General features: G+C 34.0%; 1 protein-coding gene across 5 annotated transcripts in view, besides 1 other annotated feature; it reads right to left on the bottom strand.

Annotated features, from left to right (window-relative positions):
- The window catches only part of EPHA3 (EPH receptor A3), a 374514-nt gene that overhangs the window by 314428 nt on the left and 37974 nt on the right, over window positions 1-22112 (bottom strand). The gene's annotated exons all lie outside the window — the stretch shown is intronic.
- Window positions 1442-2302: an enhancer, noted in NCBI's record as "OCT4-NANOG hESC enhancer chr3:89214555-89215415 (GRCh37/hg19 assembly coordinates)". NCBI's record gives its function as "activates a minimal SCP1, AML or CMV promoter by ChIP-STARR-seq in naive H9 embryonic stem cells {active_cell/tissue: H9 hESC(naive)}" and the evidence as "EXISTENCE:reporter gene assay evidence [ECO:0000049][PMID:30033119]".

Raw genomic sequence — 22112 nt, 5'->3', positions numbered from 1 at the left:
CTCCCTATAATTTCTAAAGGAAGGAACCCTTGAAATTCTGCTGCTCCTCAGAAAGTTCAGTGTATTCAACTTTGACTTTCATTTAAGACAAAAACAGAGACAACTACCTTAAATTCACAGATGTCAGGATTTCTAATAAGCACAAACTTCAAACTATGGAGTTAGTATAACACACAATTGAAGATGATGCATTTTAGCTTCTATTTCTTTTTTGTAATGTTATTTCTCCCCACATAGGGGAGAGAAATAGCTTTTCTCCCTACTTCATTTTCTCATTTCTCCCCCTACCCCTACCCATGCTAAATCTTGTAGTTATGCTTTATCTTCTTATTGAAAGAATAGAAAATATTAAAGAGAATATAAATGTGATATTTTAAATTATATGTCCTTTGAATTTCCAAGTATATGTATTTTATATTTGAAAAAATGTAAACAGAGTGAATGTTATGTACTTTTATCACAAAATAAAAACTCTGTGATGTAATGCATCTATTAGCTAGTTAACTGTTTCACAATGTATATATGCTTCAAAACATTATGTTGTACATGATAAAAATATACAATACTATCTGTCCATTAAAACAAATTAGTTTTCATCATTTTTTTTCCAGGTCATTGACTTTTAGACCATGAGGATATGTATCACTAAACTGTCATTTTCCTGAGTTATTTTCTTTGTACGAAACAAAGGATGCTCCATTTCACCTCAGACACATTTTGAGGAGAAATGGGGCAATTTGCAGGAATGTGTTTTCTGCCTGTGACTTGTCAGATAAAGACCCCACTCAACCCCTTCTTAAATAATACATCATACTTGCTGGGTTGCTGTGCTTGTGTTTTTGTGCTGTTTGTTAACTGATGCTTTCAAAGAATTATCCATTCAAAAGCACCCCCTTAATATTGTCAGGTCAATTTAATAAAAGGGTGCATTTTGTTTAGGTTCTCCCTAGACCTCATTCTAAAATATTCTGAGAGTACGACATTTCTGATATGTCACTGTGTTGGAAACTAATTATATGCAAATAATTCCAAGAAGCAAAAGAAAAAAGGAGAGCAAATCAGAGGAAGCAGGTGAATTTGGGAGAGAAAGGGAGAAATGCTAAGGATAGAAGATAATTGATTTGTCTTCATTGTTTCAAAGAACTGTTTTTATGGTTGGTGTTGTTTTTATACGTTTGAATGAAATAGAATCTTGTAACATGGTTATCAGAGTAAAAAATCAGAAAAAAACAATTATTATAATTTAAAGACTTTATATCATTTTCAAAAGTTACAGGCATCCAATAACTACCCTTCCTCTCCATGTGTTTTAGTTATTTCAAGCAAAAATGTGTAGAGTGAGTGCTTCTGTTCAAAAGATAGTATATGTGCTGGGCATATTTTGGTCTTGCCCACAGAAACCTCATAATTTAGTGTACAATTTAAAAAGCTGAACAACTACCATAATAAATAATTACAAATTTTGATAAATTATATGAAGAAGAAGATAAACGAAGAATGAGAAGATGAAGGTGGTTCTTAAACCTACTTTAGACGGTGGAACAGGGAAAACTACCCGGACGTTTAGGCTGAGAACCAGACCTGAAGGGTGCTAAGACAGAGATCTCATGCAGTGAAGAGCCGGGAATCTGGAGTTAGATCACCGGGGTTTTAATCCTGCCACTCATTTGCTATTAATGAGCATTTGAGCAAATTACTTAACCTCTCTGGCTTTAGTTTCATCATCTGTAAAACAAAGATGATGATAGCATCTAAAACAAACCATAGGGTGAACGGCGCTTGAAGAGCCAGGGAAAAGTGTTCTGGGAAAATGAAAACACAGGAACAAAAGCCCTGAATGGGTATTTGGTGTTTCTGAGGAGCTGATTGTTGGCCAGTGTAGCCACAGCATGACCAAGTTCCAGAACGGCAGGGGCCTTTATCATTCAAGGCCTGAACAGCCTTGGAAAGGAGTCAGGATTTTGTTGCACAAAAGCTGATGTCTTCTTTTATTTCAGAAGATGAGTATGTAAAGATGCAAGATATTTGGATCAAGGATTCAAAAGGAGAATACAAAAGTAACACATTTTTTTGAAGGTAATAACATTAAAAATTAAGCAGAGAATTAACATAAGACTTGCATTTTTGAATGGATCATTTTGACTACAATATGGAGATGGAAAGAGGAAAGGCACAGAAGAGCACAGAAGTTTTTAATCCATGCATTAGAACAGTTAAGAGATGGTCTGTTCTATGGTGATAGCATTGGGGATGGAATGATTGAACCAATTTGAAATATATTTGCATTGCATTGCATTTATTAAAAATAATTATTACGAAAAGTATAATTTCTTTCAAGAATGTTTTATATACAGATAATATATGTTGGGTGGATTACATACTATGACATTTCGTTTTAATTCTTAGGAAGATCTGCTTTTGAGGATTAGTTAAGCATTGGCAATTTGTCTTATTTTAAGTGAAAGTTCTTTGTGTTCTCATTCAGCTTTCCCAGAGTTTCAATTGTAGCTACAAAAGAAATGAGGTTGAATTTTCCCATGGATCCCAGTGGGATTGTCTAGAATGTTGTTGCATTAGAATCACTTACAAAATGTCTCCTGTATTAATCTGTTTTATGTTCCTAATCCCTCACTGATTAAAATCAGAGGTGACAGAAAGACTCTAAGAAGGACCTGCAATCTTTAAAAGCCAAATAAGAAACAGTTTCTGAAGTATAAGGATATGAAAACCCTGACTCAGCAATGCTGCATTGAAAGATTTTTGTTTGTTTGTTTGAGTAGTACTACAAGTTGTCTCTGTGTAGTTGTGTAAATACACCTCCATTTTAAATGTAGTATTATCAGATAATTTCATTTATTAAACACTCTCTTCTAGTCCCTGAGATATACTGTGACTATTCTGCAGGGTGTTCTGGGGCATTATCCTACCAGCACACATTCTATTAACACTAATTGTATGCTCTCTAGAGAGTAAATGGGCAGAAAAGCATATACTTTCATTGAATAATCTGGAGATCCTTTCCTTGGCCTACTTAATCTTTTTTCTCCATAAAAGAAAAGGATCATGAAGGCATCTAGAATTTTGTGCTGGAAGATTTCTAGTAAGTTCAGAGGAAGACAGAAAAACTAGTGGGATTTACCCTACAGCAAGTCTGGGTGGAAGCAGATCCAAAGGGCAAGAGAAGCTGTGAATGGGAAAATTCAGATGTCAGGTGTGACACAGGTCTGAAAAATGTCTTCCAAGAAAGATTTCCAGTTAATCCCAGCAATAGCATACACTCTGCAAAGGTTTGTTGGATTTTTTAGGGGGGCGTGTCTAGGCCAAGCTTGTTCAACCCACAGCCAGTGGGCCGCATGCGGCCCAGGATGGCTTTGAATGTGGCTCAACACAAATCCGTACATTTTCTTAAAACATTATAAGTTTTTTGGTGATTATTTTTTAAGCTCATTAGCTATTGTTAGTGTCAGTGTATTTTATATGTGGCGCAAAGACAATTATTCTTCTTCTAATTTGACCCAGGGGAGACAAAAGATTGGACATTCCTTGTCTAGGCTACCTGGTAGATCCATGCGCTGCTAAATCAATTAGTCTTCTCTACTCCTTTATGTCTGAAACGCTACCTCTGTCTGAAGAATTCAAAATCATCACTGGATTAATTTGAGATGTTTCTATTCCCTTGAAAATAATATGGTAATATTATTTGGTACTCTGGTTTGTTGCTCCTAACTATTGACTTCTCTATACAAAAAAACTAGGCACAATCAGATTTAAAGATCTCATTCCTTAATCAGCCTCTTATTCACCTGGATAAACCACCAGACCAGTTTTATTGACCTCAAAGAGAAAACAGTCACTTTAGAATGGGTTTTTGTGTCTCTTCCTTCCCCATACCATCATCCTTTGAAAGTAACACTGTAGGTTCTCTTGGCAATTAATTCTGATTTGTTCAGGAGTGTTCCATTTATACCTGCCACCCAGCTACAGCAGAGACCCACAGCTCACAATCTTGTCTGATTGGGAAATCGGACAAGAGTCCTCGATTTCCCAGGTGTGTAGTTAAGATACTCACAACTAGTATTCATTTAGTTTATTTACAAAGTTTCATTCCCACATTTCAATAGAAGTATACATTGGATATTAAGGGAACTCACAAAACATCTACACATTATTTTTATATCATATGAATATGAGGTATTGCTATTATAATGTAATAAAATCAATAATATTAAAAAATATGATAAAAAGGTTAGTATAAAGCATCAGCAGCAACATAAATGAGATGTTCTGGGAAAGCTTTCTTATTTCCTTATTGTTCCCTTCTCCCCCGACCCCTCAAAATCATAGCAAAGTATTTAGTATCAAACTAAAAGTTAATCAAGTTAATATCAATTTTATGATTACTCATTAAAAATAAGTCATCATTGCTAAATGCTCACTATGTACTAGGCGCTTAAGTCCTTTACTTAAAATATAACCTCTAATCTGTACACTATCCTCCAAAATAGGTATCATCATCCCTATATTATAGAAGAAGAAACTGAAGCTTACAGTGAATAAGAGGCAATGGCAGGGTTCAAGTTTAGGTGTGAATGATCCTAAAGCTATAATCACTCCTGTAATTTGGCTCATTTATTTTGCTCATGCTAAAATGAAATATCCTGGTAAATATAAACTTTAATCATTTATATCTTAGTATGAATCATGTTTGTTGTGCGACTATGTTGATACAAGAGGCTGACACTGCAATTTGCCACCTGAATACCTCTTCATTGAAGGACTGCAGCCCCGGCTGCTGGGATGCTGTCAGCAGACACCCTGCAGCTTTCAACCCTTTCAGATATTGTCTTTGCTGCATGGAGTGGCCGTCCTAGAGTTCAGGTCCTTCCCAAGGGTGGCACATCCAGTGATTTTGCAGGAATAAAAAGGCCTTGCAATCTCAGCCCAATTCAAGATCTTTCTAAAAGCCCCTCTCAGTTCCAGCATGCAGGGTTGGGCTAAAACCCTTGGTAGGTCTAGATCACAGCTTCACTTCACCTTCTGTCCATTCCTGCTTCCTTTCTTTCCTTTCCACAGGTTTGAATCCCAAAGGCACTCCTTTCTAAACATTCAGCATACAAAATGCCTTCCTACAGTCTGATTTCAGGGGAACCCAAACTACAATTGAGGAGAAGGAGAGAGGTTGGACAAGTGATTTCTGGGCAAGAGAGGAAGGAAGAGAACAATACTGAGTGAAGGAACATTTTAGAAAATGAGCAGAAATCAGATCCTCAAAGAACAAATTCTGCTAGGTCATTGCATTTGCTTTTGCATAAAACTAACATCATCATTCACAATGGCTGAAATAGATTATTTGGACATTATTAATTAATAAGGTACTTTATTTCTTCTGATCTAATTTATTTGGAGTATGGCATGTTCCTGTATTTACTCCTGCTTTCCTCATTTCTAAAATGCATGATTTCCAGGACACCAAATTACCTAATATGTCCAGGATTGTCTTACTTTCTACATGTTATCCCCAATTTTAATTTTAAGTAATACCCCTTTTCAGCCTCAAGCATTCCTGCTCTGAGGATAATTATGTGTTCATCTAATTCCCAGTTCCTGTGTAAATCTCTTACTTGTGTTTTAAGTGAATTACCTCACTTGGATAAGAAGGCTCACTAAGCAAGAGAGGTTTATTATTTATTATTATTTATTATTATTACTATTATTATTATTATTATTTTGAGACAGAGTCTCACTCCCATCACCCAGGCTGGAGTGCAGTGGTGCAATCATGGCTCACTGCAGCCTCTACCTCCCAGGTTCAGGTGATCCTCCCACCTCAGCCTCTCAGGTAGCTGAGACTACAGGCATGCTACCATATCCAGCTAATGTTTTATATCTTTTCATAGAGACAGGGTTTCACCATGCTGCCCAGGCTGGTATTGAACTCCTGGGATAAACAACTCATCCACCTTGGCCTCCTGAAATACTGGGATTACAGGCATAAATCACTGTGCCTAGACAAAGTCAGATTTAAAATAATAAAAATTATAGGATATTCACACAAGGTTACTCATTACAGCCACTGTTTTTGTTTTATATGTATATATAAAATGAATGACTGCCCGTCAGTAAAAAAACTAATTAAATAAATCATGGTATATCCATACTCTGTAATACTATGCAAACATAAAAATAAAGAACAAGGAAGCTCTTTATATGAAAGATCTCCAAGATACATTGTTAGATTTCAAAAAAAGTAAGCTATAAGACATAATTGAAAGATTCAATTTGTATAAAAGCAGGTGTTATATTTATACTATGTAAACATTACACAATTTTTGTATACATATAACCACATAACTAATACTATTAATGGCTTTGAGAGAGGAGAAACAATGACTTACTGGCAGAGGTGGAGAGAGACTTCACTATATTTCTTCTATAATTTTTGAAATTGTAACCATGTGAATGTGTTACCCATTCAAACATTTTCCTTTTTTATTCTAGTTTCTAATATGGCATGGTCCTTAAAGTGTGATCCAGGGAAATCAAAATGATTTTCATAGTAACAGTACAGTAATGTTTGTCTTTTTCACTCTAATTGTCTTACCAGAGTTTGGTGGAGATTTTTAGAAGCTGCGTGATGTGAGATGAGATCATCACTCAGATGGTAACATCCTTCTAGTGGACTTACTGCTAATTTTTAAATGCATTAATAATTTCGTTAAATTTCCCAGTTTAATTTCCATTAGGGTAAATATTTACACACATAACCAACATAAGCAAAACCTCAATAATTTCTTAGAGTACAATCCTGAGACCAAAAAATTGGAGAACCACTCTGAAATAGGTAGTTAAAAAATGTTTTTAATGTAGAAATATTTGAGGTTTGAGACAGTAGCAACTTTGTAAGCTGAGGAGACTATAAAAAGTGAAAATTTTGCTGATGGATTTCCTATTAAAAGTCTGGAAAGCAGTTGCCAAAGAGATATACCAAGTTTGTGACAATATTGAAGAAAGCTTTAGGGTTGAATCTTTAGGGCTGACAATTAAAAAGATACAAGTTTGCTGTACAACATGATCCAAACTTTGGTGAAAGAAATACACACAGAAAAAGAATGCGCGCACACACACACACACACACACACACACACACACACACACACAAAATCTAATATTACTTTTCTCTGACTTGTGGAATATAAAGCTTTATTTACTTATGAACAGTTATTTATAATTATTTACTTAAGAATATTGACAATTTTGTAATCATAACAACTTTTCAGAGGGCCTTCACATGAAGTCTCATTTTATTCTCCAAACAACCTAAGGAAAACAATCTAAATATTACCATCATTTTCTGTAAGAAACAGACACTAACAAGATATGCTACACTGCTTTTTCTATCTTTTCATATCCCTTTTCAAACTTTAACATAGCATACAGTTTATGTATTTATTATATGTTTGTTGTCTGTTACCCCCAGAAGAAATGTGAGATCCATTCTGATTGTTCCAAACATTATTGATTTCTAATATATTATATATTATGTTCATTTACAGCATTTGCAAACTTCCTTCTCCTAACGGAATGTAAGGAAATTGATTACCATCATTTCTTATTCAAACTCTTTGGTATACTGCTTTAGGATAACGGTCTTAGAGTGTCGGGTTATTGTAGTATTTAGTCATATTTCCAAATCTAGTATAATTTTTCTTTTATTTTTGAAGAAAAAGTTAAAAAATACAAAAATAGGAAGAAGGAAAAGAAGGAAGGAAGGGAGGAAGGAAGGAAGGAAGCAAAGAAGGAAGGAACTCATAGCCCATATAAAGCCTAGTTGGTGTTTAGAGTTTTCTTAATTAATCTCCTTTATACCTCAACACAATCTCATAAATCACCGTGTGAAGCTAAGATGTTTCATTACAGTGAGTACTTCTATATACTACAATGTAATAATAAAAATGATGAAAATTATAGCACTAATAGTAATTAATGTTGGGGGTCATGAAGATATTTATCCGCTTTGGATTCCAAGAAAATGAGCCACTTTCCTATATTTAGATACACAATCATCAAATACACCTCACTTATTTTCTGTAGTTCCAATTGGTTTCATTGACTATTCCTGCCCAGAACTCTGTAATGGGAGTGAGAGGCAGTGGAGAATTTATTATTTTGGCAGCAGCTTTGGCAATGCCATCTGACTTCAATTGACAGCCTTGTCGTGGTGTCAATGAGACCATAGCCAGGGACTAACGGTGGTGGTAATTACAGGGACTTCACTAGTGGATTTTGGTGGTGCTTGCTGTGGTCCTTACTGTACCCTCCCTAACTTGTATCTAGCCACTTTCTGAGCTGGGTTAGTAATACTCTTTTCAGTAAATTTATTTTCTGACTAAATCAGCTTCAGCAGGTTTCCAATGCTTACAACTAAGAGCTCTGATTCATAAAACATGCATCTGATTTTGGTAAAAGGAACTTCAGTTTTGTGTAAAATAATCAGGGCTATAGAAATGATGCTAAAAATAAAATCTTTGATTATCAAAATGCCTAGTAGATATTTGATAAATATTGACTTAATGAATCAGTAAAATCACATTAGAAACATTTGAAAATATGCCAGACATATTAGTACAAAATGAACTAATATATTAATGAATTAGGTAAATAATGCACATATGCTTAAGGAAATGTGGGTGAGGCTATTTATAATATATTGCCCTTGCCCTACAGTGATGTATTATTTAGGACTATAACAAAAAAAAGTAGTTATTTCTTTTCTTCTTCCCCAAATACATGCATAGGAATTTTTTCTTTAACAAAATTAAGGGCAAATATATGTATTTTTTCATATGTATTTGCCTACCAAGTTTCCACTCCTTTCAAATAGAACTAATTCCAAATTTGGAAGACAGCTTGATCCAGTACTCTTTTGGCACTGTTTATTAAGAATGCTCCTTAGCACATTGGGGTCCTTTGAATGTTGCAGTTGTTGCTGAGAAGAAGAGGCCCACTGTAAAATATGTTTGAGAAGCAACGGGATATACAAAAGCAAATCTTGTCTCTTTGAAAGAGGACTTCTCAAATCTATAAAATATTAATGTGTTCATTTATTATGAATCTGGGAAAAGCAGACATAATAAGGAGCATCCTGTACATTTATTTTATCTTGCTTAACATCTTTAACATTTTTTGTAATAATACATTGTTTTCTGATAAACAAATTTAGGAATTCTTGACCAGACTAAATAGCCAACCAATACTTTGCATATTCTTTCATTCCTTTTAATAGACAGTGTAAAAGAAAGCCCCAAGAATTTATAAGTATACCTTAATTGAGAAGTAAGAGACAATGTCACCTAATGAAAAACCACATACTGTCTACCATGAACATTAAAGGCAATCCTCAATGAAGTGGTAGAATCCACAGAAATAAATCTACTTTTAAAGACGCATCTAAAAATGGTTTAGAACATTCTGGAGTCAAGCTGTTTAGGTTTAAATCTTATCTTCAACATTAACTGGTTGTGCAACCTTGGATAATTTACTTATTTTCATTGTAGTTTTGTTTTCATCTACAAAATTATAATAGAATGTGTCCCATTGTGTTATCTTGTAGATTCAAATGAATTAATATTTGTGAAGCAATGGTATACATAGAACTACTGAAGTATCTGTTAAAAACACAAACAAGCAATGGTAGGCTCTTTCAACTGAGGTGGACAGAAAAGACCTCACAAACTTTAGGCATTTATCTCACTTTCTCAGGGTTTTCTCTGTTGATTCTATTTAAAATTTCAGCCCTGCCCATTAACTCTCTCTTTCCCCTGACTTCTTTCCCTTTTTTTTTTTCTTTTTCTTCATAGCGAGTGTTACTACCTACACTGTATATATTAGTGTTGGTTATTTTCTATCTACCCTACTGCCAAGGATGATTTGTTCTCTTTTACTTACTGCTGCATCCCCAGAGACATGTAGAAGCAACTTCCTGGAATTAGTACCTGTAGGACAATTGTGAAATCAATATACATACATCATCAGCCCGCAGAGAGTTTCATCTCTGCTTCTGGGTTCCCCTGCCCTGGTTTTATCCCCGCAAGGTTACCCCTTTACAACAGTCATCTGCTTGGAGCAGCAGGGTTATTTAGATAACTGTAAACTTAAGCACATGTTCCAGGACCCAAAGGAAATCAGGAGAAACACCTAAAAGAAATATGATATTCTATGCTCCTTGTTCCTCTTCGTTTTTCATCAACTTTGCAAGAGATCTGGTTTTGTGAAAGAACACCATAGGAATTTGCTACAGGTGTTATGGATAACAGCTGAAGTATGAGAAGGGGTGCCTGTTAATAAAGGTCAAATAGAATTTGTTTAAATTTGGCGATCCTAGAAAATTATATTAAAGTTGCATTAAGGAATATCTGGCAATTGAATTTTAATGAAGACTTCCACATTAATCTTGCTTTTTCTAAAGCAGAACTTGAGAATAAGTGGTTCGATCATAAAAGAGCAGAATTTGGTTGGCCAAGAGTGGAACACTGGATCGCACTACCATAGCATCCTGGCTTCTTTCCCAGTACAAACCTTCACTTCATCACAATTTCATTCTTATATATCTGCAAACCAGAACTGTCAGTGAAAGTTTATTTTATTCCTTCAGCTTTTGCATGCTACATATTAAGAGGCAGACACCTTGTTTCTGCCACATTATCCGGATTCATTTGTGCACTGATGCAGTGTCAATCTTGAAATCTGTCCAGGCAAGGAGAGGTGTCCTGTTTTCTGTCCTAGGCCATCTGGCTGCCCTTAGTTACATTTTTTTTTCCAAAAAAAAAATAAAATGTGTAGTGGACATGAGTGAATATGTAAAGATAAAGGAAAGTGATGCCACCAAAAGTCATCAGAATCTTATATTCTTATATATTTAGCACTTTCATGGTCTCGTTTTTTTAAATAAAATGTTCCTGCTCTGTTTAGCATTAAAAACATCTTTTAGCTTTTGCACACTAACTTTTTTGGTTAATTTGCTAACTAATATCATTCTTCTTTTTACCTAAGAAGTAAACATTTTCACAAAGTAAAGAAAAAAAATGGCAAACGCTTGAAACCAGGACCTTAAGTTTTACCTAACAGTGGAATAAAAACAATGGATTTGCTTTTCTGTCAGTTTCCCTGTCATCTGATTTTGGCACTTAGACTGAATTTTGCCAAAAGCACACCAAATAACCCCCTCCACACAGATTAAGAGAAGAAGCACATGTTAAACAAATAGCTTAAAAAATAAACAATTTATTGCAGAGCAGTTAAAAATAAGAGCACTTGCTCCTCATTTTATAATGTGTTTTCAAGTTTTTCCAATTTTAAATCTGCTCTCTTCTTGTTTAGTATAAGGAAGTCCTGGATTTCTAACATCCAAATAAACCAGATGTGAGGAACACCCAGATACAAAGGAAGTGCTTTCACACAAAAACAAAACTCACATGAAAGCAGTTAAGACAAGTTTCTTTAGACACAATGTCTCTACTCTGAAAAGTCCACCAGTCATTATAATCTTCCTGATGAGATACTTAGTGCTCATGTTTTTGTTTGTTCATTCATAAAACACTCTCAAACTTGCACGTAAACAGTATCTTCTTCCCAACGGCCTCCAGTAAATACATCGCTCCAAATGGCCGAGTTTACTAGTTTAACAATCACCACACTGTTCATCACATAAAGACTGTTATTTCTTTTCCTTTGGATACTTACAATCTGTTTCTTGTAAAGTTGAAACAAGGTTGTTTTCTCATGTTGAAAGAACTGACAGCTGTAATTACTCCTACCACTGCAGTACGACTTGGTTCCCAACGTTCAACTACATACTGTATAAAGCATGAATCTGTTCAATGTTTTCAAAGATGAGAAAGGGTAATCTCATAAAAGAAATCACTAAGACCATATTTTCACTCTCTCAAGGGAACTCAATCCTCCACAAACTGGTATATGAGAAGTGGTTTTATTTTTAAGTTTTAAGTTAACATTATTAAAACGTAATTGTAAAACAGTAGTTATTTTGCTTTACTTTTTAGCTTTTATAAATGATATTTGTAAAGCCTGGCATTGTGAAAATGTATTTTCTTATTCAGAAATTCCATGAACAATCAAAAAGCCACCATGAAAATCAAAATGGATTGCAATTGTAAGGTAATCTAATCTGAAATCTTTCTTACAAACTTTGTTTACTCTTTTATCTATATGAGCATTGTCTGGTTAATACTATGCTTGAAATGTCAATGGACTTTTGGGAAGATTAAATGAAACAGTACATATTGTCACTAGTGCTTGGCACAAGGTATACACCCACTAAATGCTACTTGATAGTCTTATTAATATAACTAGAAAAAGGGTATTTTATATGTTTCTTGAAGTTTGAGAAGTTTGTTTTAAATGACGCAGATAGGCTGGAACCATAGTTAACAAATAAAGAAATAGTACCTAAGCTATTACAGATAAAAAATGTACAAGATCATTATTCATATTTTAGAATAGTTCTCATTATGTATTGATTTTACATACACTTCTGAGTCTATTAACTCCATAATGCCTTCATCCTGGGGATTATGACATATATTCATCTTTCTATATTTAATGTACAGCACTATCAGACATATACACAGTAAGTGCTTAATAGCTGTCAGTTTGAATAAACTTCAAGAAAATTTAACTACACTTATTCTTTGAAAAAATTTTAAAAAGTTTGAAACTTTTAAACAGAATTATGTTTCTAATGGTTATAATAGTGGAGCAATGATAATTATAAATATTATATAATTATAATTATATAATATATATTTTATATATATATGTTCTTAGATGCTTTAATGTGGCTTAAAGGAAGTTGGCTGTGTGTTACATTTGTCTTTAGATGAAATATATGGATAATTGCCTAATGTCTCAAATAAAATCCTGTTTTTTTTAAAGTTCCAACCTTTTAAAATCATGATCTATTTGAATCTGAAAACTTTGTGTTACACTGTTCCAACATTTGAGCAATCTACCAATTACAAAATGATAGAGTGAGTTGTTTACAAAATGGCTGCCAAATGATTGAAATTTTTCACATGATTTATATAATTAATCCTAGTTCAATCAAACAATTTAAAATATTGTTCAGTATAGCTGTTCATTAAATAAATAAATCTTAAAAGCTAGGTCCAAAATCAGTATTTTTGAAATTATTATGAGACTATGTTTTGCTGCACTTCATTTATACATAATTAGCAGTATATAAGCACCACACAGTCCATTGATACTCATAACTTTTTCTGAAAAAAAATCATGGAGAAATGACACTTTCCTACATTTATTAATTCATTAACTTATTCATGCATTTAACAGATATCTATTGAGTGCTCACCTTTTTATGCGTCCAAAGAATGAGAAATAAAAATAAAAAAAAAAAAAAACAAACAAAAACCCAAAAAACAAGGAAGCCCAAAACTTTCCTGTTCTCCTGCTCAAAAGGAAAGGGGATATAAATAATAACAGTAACAAGTAAATGCACTAAGGAGAATATTAGAAGATGATAATTGTTATGGAGAAAATAAAAACAGTAAATGCAATTTAAAATAGAGTGATCAAGGCAAGCCACAACGAGAGGTCAATATTTGAAGAGAACAGAAATAAATGTCGGGGGGCCTCATGGCTTCAGGACAAAGGGGAACCATTTGCAGGAAGTGGGAAGAATAAGTGCTGAAGCTCAGAGATAAAAGCAGACCTGACTTGTTCATAGACACCGTGGACACTAGCAAGGATGGAACAGTGTAAGGAAGGAGAGAGGAGCAGGTCACAGATGTCACTGGGGGACAAATCATGATGAGCCTTGCAGGTCATTCTGAGGACTTTGGCTTTTATTCTGAATGTGATGGGAAAACCTTAGAGGATCATCAGCAAAGGAGTGAGATAAGTAGATTCAGGATCATTCTATGATGAACACAGAGTGTAACTATAATAGGACACATGCAGGGGCAGGGAGCCTGGATTTAACAAAAAATAGGTAAAAGATGGTGGTGGCTTGGTCAGAAAGGTAGCATTGCTGGTGGGTAAGAAATGGTTATATTTCTGATATGTTTTGAAAGTAAAGTCAACAAGAATTGCCACCACTGCAAGTGAAATGTGAGAGAAGGAAAATAATCAAAGTGGACTCCAGAGATTTTGGCCTGATACCTGGAAGGAAGAAGTGGCCATGGATGAGGAAGACTGCAGGAGAAATATGTTTTGGGGGTGGGCTCAAAGAAAAAGAGGAAAACAACTTTTTTCCTTTTAATATCTCAGAAATGGAGATATTAATAAGGAAGTTGGATATATGAATCTACATTTTGCAGAAGGCTGAAAATAAAGAGGCAACAGCAAAGTCAATGAAGAAGGACCCGCAAGTGTGAAAAAATTAAAGCAGGAGAGCATAGTATCTTAAGTGAAGTAAATATATGAAACATTCTCATCTTCTCTCTGACTCATTTACCTGCTTCAAGATGAAGCTGAAATTCTAGATTTAAGTGCCTTTTCCTTTACCCATGTCAATTCACAATGGAACTCTTCATTTTCCAAACATCTGTGGCTTTTATTGCATACATAGCCCATTTAGTAATTAACTTATAGCATAGTGCTTATTACAGTGGTGCTTATTTAAATATGCTTTATTGTAGCAATCTATGTTTAGGTTTTATATCCATCAACCTATAATAGCTTATAAATACACACATGATATTTATGAAATAGTAGACAAAAAATAATTAGACAGTTTTACAGATAAATACTACAAACTGAGCCTTGGGTGATTTTTCTAAATTTACCAAACTAATTATCAAAATTCTGGAATTTAGTTGCTAGTTTGTAATGAATCTTTTCAAACTTTCCTCACCACATATAATGCCTACATTTCTTCGTTCATTTAGAAACATATTAACAATTCCTTTGTGATTTTTCACAGTCATTTTTGTTAAATATATTCCTATAACCTCAAAGATGGTTTTTACTTTTTACCCTAGTATATTTTGACTCTGTAAAAAACATTGACTGGATGGAAAATGTAAGCACGTTCTTTTTAAAAAGTATAATTAAGTTTCTGGAGGTTGAAACTATAAGTGAAAGAATAATGATGTGAATTCCAGCATTTTAAAAAATATATAATAGTATGTATTCCATTAGTCCTCCCTAAAAAGTTTAACAGTATGAACGTTTTAGGTCCTGAGAATTACTCATAACAACAGATGAGTAAAATCACCTAGACATCTTGAATGGTCTTGACCCTAAGTTAAAACTTCCATATGTGAAAGGAGGTTGTGGGTGGAAAGAGAAGGCCTGTGCAGTTTCTGAGAGTGTTTAATCATAATAAGGAACAGCATGAGGAGGTCGTTTTAGGTTTACCAGAACACAACTGAGAGTATTATGTTAATTCTAATGTATAGGTGACTTATGTATGTTGTATTCCCTCTGATCATTTGTTGAGTTAGAGATAGAATTTGGAATTTTAATCAGGTAAAGAAGAGAACACATGGATATAAATTAATAAGGACACCATAATGTTGATGAGTACCTTCGTGATCCACAGAAAAATGAATTAAAATATGCGTCCAAATATTTGAGATAACATAAACATATGCACTGAATAATCTCAAGGTAAGGCAGAAGTCTTCATTAAAACAAACATTTCTACCAAACAATATTAAAATTTAAATGTGGAAAATCTGTAATTTAAAAAACAAAAAGCTATTCTGCAGCCTTCTGTAAAGGCCTCTCACTATTTCTAAGAGTAAAGGTAAGTGGATCATTGCAAACAGAATTTGGAGAAAAGTTTTCTTACTTGAGCTTCAGGTCATGCCAGACCACAAAATGGATTTGGATGTTTTGATATTAATATTTAAATTCTATGCTTTTATTTTATTTCTATTATTTCTATTATGCTCATGTAGAGAATGGAGAATTTGTGCGTTTATACACATATCCATGTTTGATTTATGTTAATTTTTCCTAAAATAATATATTGTTTGTATATTAGTTTGGAATTATGCTCCAATGATTGAACCTAGAAAATCTTCAGTCATACACAAGTCTAATTTTCTTGTATAAACAGTACTGAAATAGGCAGCTGGCACGTGCTGTGGCATCTCCCGCAAAGCACCAGTGAGCTGCCTCTTCCTGCTCCTCACTATGCTGACCCTAAGTCATAGCTCTCATTCTAATGTCCCCAAGTGACTGGCTTCTGTAGTGCCAGTCACTACCCAAATGCCAGATTTCCTGTACAGCATCTTTGTAGAAGTCCCACACCCCTACTTATGTCCCTTCAGTTAAAACTCTTTCATGCAGACACACTTCAATTTGATAGAAGCTGGGAAATGTACTCCTTTAGCTGAGTAGAATGCCAGTATAATGGTATCTTAGAAGTCCAGTGAAGTAAATATATGAAACATTCTCTGAATGTCTGAATAAAAATCGGGTTTCTTCTAGTAAAGATAATGGATTTGAGAGTAGACTATTAGACACACATGGCTTTCGACGGCACATATTTTAGGTATGATAATTAGATATACCTCTGCTGCTTTTATGCATCATCAGTTGTTCCTTTTCCTGTATAATTTTTATCTTTTTCATAATATATCTCTTATTATCAGACTTAAAAGATCAGACTTCTTCTACAGGGTCTACTGTTAAGCGTAAATAAGAAAAGGTGTTAGAACTTGTCTGTATTGTCTTCTTTTTTATAGACAGGTTCTCACTCTGTCACCCAGGCTGGAGTGCAGTGGCATGATCCATAGCTCACTGCAGCCTCTAACTCCTGGGGTCAAGTGATCCTCCTGCATCAGCCTCCTGAGTAGCTAGGAATACAGGCATGAGTCACCATACCAGGCTGTAATTTCTAAGCAGTAAATTCTATACTAAAAATGTCAAATTACAAGTGTTCTAAAGGTACAAATGATATTCTGGTCTACTTGAAACAGTCCGTCATTTTGGTGATATATGACGTAAGGAATTAATGCTATGGAAAAACTGAATACACATAAGATTCAAATTGATATCTGGTAAACATTTCAGTAACATAGAATATGGATCCATTTTCAACATTTTGGAGTTTTCTCAATAATATGTATATGTGCATCTGGGGAAGTTATATGAATTTTTAAATTCTAGAAATCACTATTGGTCATAAAATGAAGGATATTAGCTATTACCTACTCTAGAAGGTCTCCCAAATGAGGTGCATGGGTACCCTCTATTGATATCTGTTTTAGCCTTTTAAATTTATCTTTTTTTCCAATAACGAATGCACATTATTATCCAACTATACAAAAAACATATAAATAAAAGTTACATATATCTTGGGAATATGTATCAAATTTTATTGTCTGAATTTCCTAAAGACCATGTTGACTTTACTTCTAGCTTAAAATTTGAATTATTTGTTCATCTGACAAAATATACCCCATGAAAATCTGAAATTGTTGGCTACCACTTAGACTTTCATATCTGCAATGTCTGTGGTGTGATTTAACATAATTTGACTTATTAGATGCTTAAATAATTAATCATGAAGTCATTAGCATGAAATCAATATCCGTTAAGAATCATATACTTTCCCATCCAAATTGTCACTAAAAAGAGAGCCAGAGATACAAGGAAATGGATGTACAACCACAGGACCTTTGAAACAACTACTGCTTAAGGGTAGATTTTAGTGGTACCTGAGAACAAGCTGGTACTTGTACACAGAAATATATTTCGGTGCTTTTACTTGCAAACTCTCACTAAATATTTAATTTGTTTATTATAACAGCTGAGATGAGAGCAGAATATTTGACCTAAACTTTCTTATTAATTAATATCAATCACCCCTCCATTGTTTATCACATAGTCACACACCAGTGAATTCTTTTTGCTTTTAAAGAATCTTAATTTTAGTTTCTTATAACTTTTTAAATATTATAAAGATAAATACCCACAACTCATATTTTCCACAGGAATTTTGTAATGCCGAATTGAACAATGAGAACACATGGACACAGGAAGGGGAACATCACACACTGGGGCCTGTTGTGGGGAGGGGGGAGGGGGAGGGATAGCATTAGGAAATATACCTAATGTTAAATGATGAGTTAATGGGTGCAGCACACAACATGGCACATGTATACATATGTAACAAACCTGCATGTTGTGCACATGTACCCTAAAACTTAAAGTATAATAATAATAAAAAAAGATTATTCTATGCATTTAATGTGGGCAGTTTTTAATATACACCAAGCACTTGAAGGGAAGAACACATACTAGTGTCTGATGGATGACATACCACTCCTATGTGTCTTATTTCAATGGTTTTCTATTTCAGAAAAGGAAACCCAAAAGATGACTGAGATTATAAAATAGTGGTTGTTCCATCCTCAAAGTAATACTTTCCAAAATGTCTGGTACCGCTTCAGTAAATAGATTGCTTTTGGTAAATATTTATAGACTAAGAAAATATTTTTCAAAGCAGACGTGCATACAACCATGTCAGACATATCTGGTTTCAGGTAGAAACCAGCACTCTATAAAATCCTTTGAACCATATAATATTTTATGATTGTTTAGGCAATAGTATCTTCTGTTTCAATGGAAAAACCATGCTCCCATTTTTCTGTCTCTTTTGAAGAACTATAATCTCTGATTGGTATGCGCTGGCTTCAAAATTTGCATTATGGCATTCTAGCTTTCTCTGACTCGGTATTCTCAGGTTCCTGATGTCTATTTTTCACAATTAGTTTATTATATATATGACTCCAATGAAATAATAATATGTTATATGTTTATAATTATGACTCCAAATAAACAATAATGTCTATTTTCTATTTGCAAATACCTAACTTAGGAATGGCGGAAGATGGTGCAAGTTGACATGCAAGTGACAGGAATTGAAAATAATTCAGATGCATTCACCAGTTGTTTCTATAAGTGACATGATAAACAGAACTTTCCTAAGATGGGTATGCTGGAAAACAATGTAAGATTAATTCATCATCAAGGAATATTCTAAAATAGCCATTTTTGTTTTATTATTCTGAAAGTTATACAGGCTCCTTAAAAGCATATGTCATCACAAAGTTTAAAAGCACAATTTTCCCTGATAACTTTTCAATCTTTAAGAAGAAAAAACCTAGAGAAAACTAAATTTAATTTCAGTTTGGATGTCTGTTTCATGAAAGACACAAACATTTTGTATAACTTTTGATATTGTCATAAAATCTTAATTTATTCATAAATTCCTTTTGTTTGCTTTTAAATAAATTTGCTTAATGCTTCTTGTCTTCTCTGCTTAATTGGTAAAATTTTTAAACCCAAGAAGAGACTCTTTCCAGTAAAACAGTAAATTCATAAACTCTACTCTCCATTATCTTTTAGATACTTTAAAAACAGGTACTTGAATAGACTCTTATTCTCAGTAATAATGACCCTGGTATTAAGTGCCTTATATGTTAGTGTTTTCATTTTAATAAATATTTTAGTTTTCCAATAATACATTTTAAAAACACAGACACACATGCACAAATGCCCACACACAGAGAGCACATGTGTGTGTTACTGACTGATATTTGCATTTAATCAACACACAAGTTCATGCATTTTTTCCCTAAAAATCTTTGTACATTCTAGACATTGTATACTTCTAGAATATAACATCATTACACCCAAATGCCTTTTTCTTTCTCATGGTGTTTTACTCTCCTAGCCTAATGCACGATCCATTATTTTTCCTTAATATTCCATAGGCAAAACATACAGACTTTTCCATTCTGGTTTTCCTCCTTTTTGACCAGCTACTCCATGCTACTGTCAAAGAACTGACTGATTTTTACTGAATTTATTTTGCACTAATATATGAGTCATTTTGTTTTCTCAATTGTTAGTAGTCATTATTTCCACCTTCATACTAGCATCTTTTGATGCCCTATATTATACTTCTAGACCAAAATTCCTCAGGGGTGAGGAATTATTCCTGAGGTCAGGTTAAATGTAAATACAGTATTCTGCCCTTTTTCTAGGGGGTACATTACAAAACCCCCAGTGGATGCCTGAAATCCTAGACAGTATTGAACTGATTGCGGTCAATTGAAACACGATTCTGTTCGTGTCTGCAAATTTAATGTTGTTTTCATCTTAACTGAGCACTTATCACACACTGTGGCTGTAACTTTTGCAGTGTGAGGTGCCAAAGCAAAATTAGCACAAATTTCCTTTTTCTTCTTCACAATTATATGGATAGAAGATTTATTCTTACCATACATCTTAGCAACTTTATTGTAAGATTTTTTCTTTTCTTAGAAACCTTACATTTAGAAAAGCACTCTGTGGCTTTTTTTTCCTTTACGTTCTGGGATACATGTGCAGAACGTGCAGGTTTGTTACATAGGTATATATGTGCCATGGCAGTTTGATGTACCTATCAACCCATCATCTAGGTTTTAAGCCCCGCATGCATTAGGTATTCATCCTAATGCTCTGCCTTCCCTTACCCCCACCCCCGACAGGCCCTGGTATGTGATGTTCCCCTTCCTGTGTTCATGTGTTCTCATTATTCAGCTCCCACTTATGAATGATAACATGTGGTGTTTGGTTTTTTGTTCCTGTGTTAGTTTGCTGAGGATGATCGTTTCCAGCTTTATCTGTGTCCCTGCAAAGGACATGGACTCATTTTTTCTATGGCTGCATGGTATTCCATTGTGTATATATACCACATTTTCCTTATCCAGTCTATCATTGATGGACATTTGGGTTGGTTCCAAGTTTTTCTATTGTAAATAGTGCTGCAATAAACATATGTGTGTTGTTGGGAAAACTGGCTAGCCATATGCATAAAACAGAAACTAGGCCCCTTCCTTATACCTTGTACAAAAATTAACTCAAGATGAACTAAAGACTTAAATGTAAAACCTAAAACTATAAAAACCCTAGAAGAAAACCTAGGCAATACCATTCAGGACATAGGCATGGGCAAAGACTTCATGACTAAAACACCAAAAGCAATTGCAACAAAAGCCAAAATTGAAAAATGGGATCTAATTGAACTAAAGAGCTTCTGTACAGCAAAAGAAACTATCATCAGAGTGAACAGGCAACCTACAGAATGGGAGAAAATTTTTGCAATCTACCTATCTGACAAAGGTCTAATATCCAGAATCTACAAGGAAGTTAAACAAATTTACAAGAAAAATACAAACCACCCATCAAAAAAGTTGGCAAAGGATATGAACAGACACTTCTCAAAAGAAGACTTTATGCAGCCAACAAATATATGAATAAAAGCTCATCATCAGTTGTCATTAGAGAAATACTTTATGACTTTTTTTTGGCCTATCTGAATTGGCAGCATCATTACTCATGCACTTTGGGGGATTATTAAGTTAAATAAGGTTTATTTGAACACAAGCCATGTGAAACTGCAGCAGTTAGTCTGATAGCTGGGACAGCTACTAAGTGACTAATGGGCTGGTCCTGTGTATACATGGAGGATACCCTGGAGAAAGGGATGATTCATGCCCTGAGTGGGATGGAGCAGGACAGAGAGAGATTTCATCATACTACTCAGAGCAGTGGGCAATTCAAAACTTATGAACTATTTCTAGAATTTTCCATGTAATGTTTTCAGACCTCTGTTGACTTCTGGTAACTGAAAGCACAGAAATCAAAATCACATGTAAGTGAGAACTACTGTAAGGATTTCCTTTCCAAAATTAGCATCTATTCATTTTTAACACTACATCTCATTTTTTTATTATTTTGATGTTAATTTTTCTTTTTTAACTAAATTATGCAACTTATTTTAAAGCCAAAGATATTATTACACAGTGGTGTCTTCTTTGATGATATTGTTTGACTGAAGGAAATAAAGCAACAGTGAAATGGAGAGTGAGAAATCGATTCTAGACACACTTGAGAAAAAAAAATTCCTCAGGAAACGATAAATACTGAATATGAATAAAAATAAAACAACAAATAAGAATTGACTCAAAGGTCTCTACATTAGGTGACTAAGTGGATATTTAATACATTATTTGAAATAGACAATATAGAAAAAGCAGATTTTAAAAAATTTGACTCATTTAAATCAACTT

The sequence above is a fragment of the Homo sapiens genome, chromosome 3 (assembly GCF_000001405.40).
Source record: "Homo sapiens chromosome 3, GRCh38.p14 Primary Assembly".
Lineage (NCBI taxonomy): Eukaryota > Metazoa > Chordata > Mammalia > Primates > Hominidae > Homo > Homo sapiens.
Note: the sequence above shows the minus strand (reverse complement) of the source record. Positions and strands in the feature narration are given on the sequence as shown.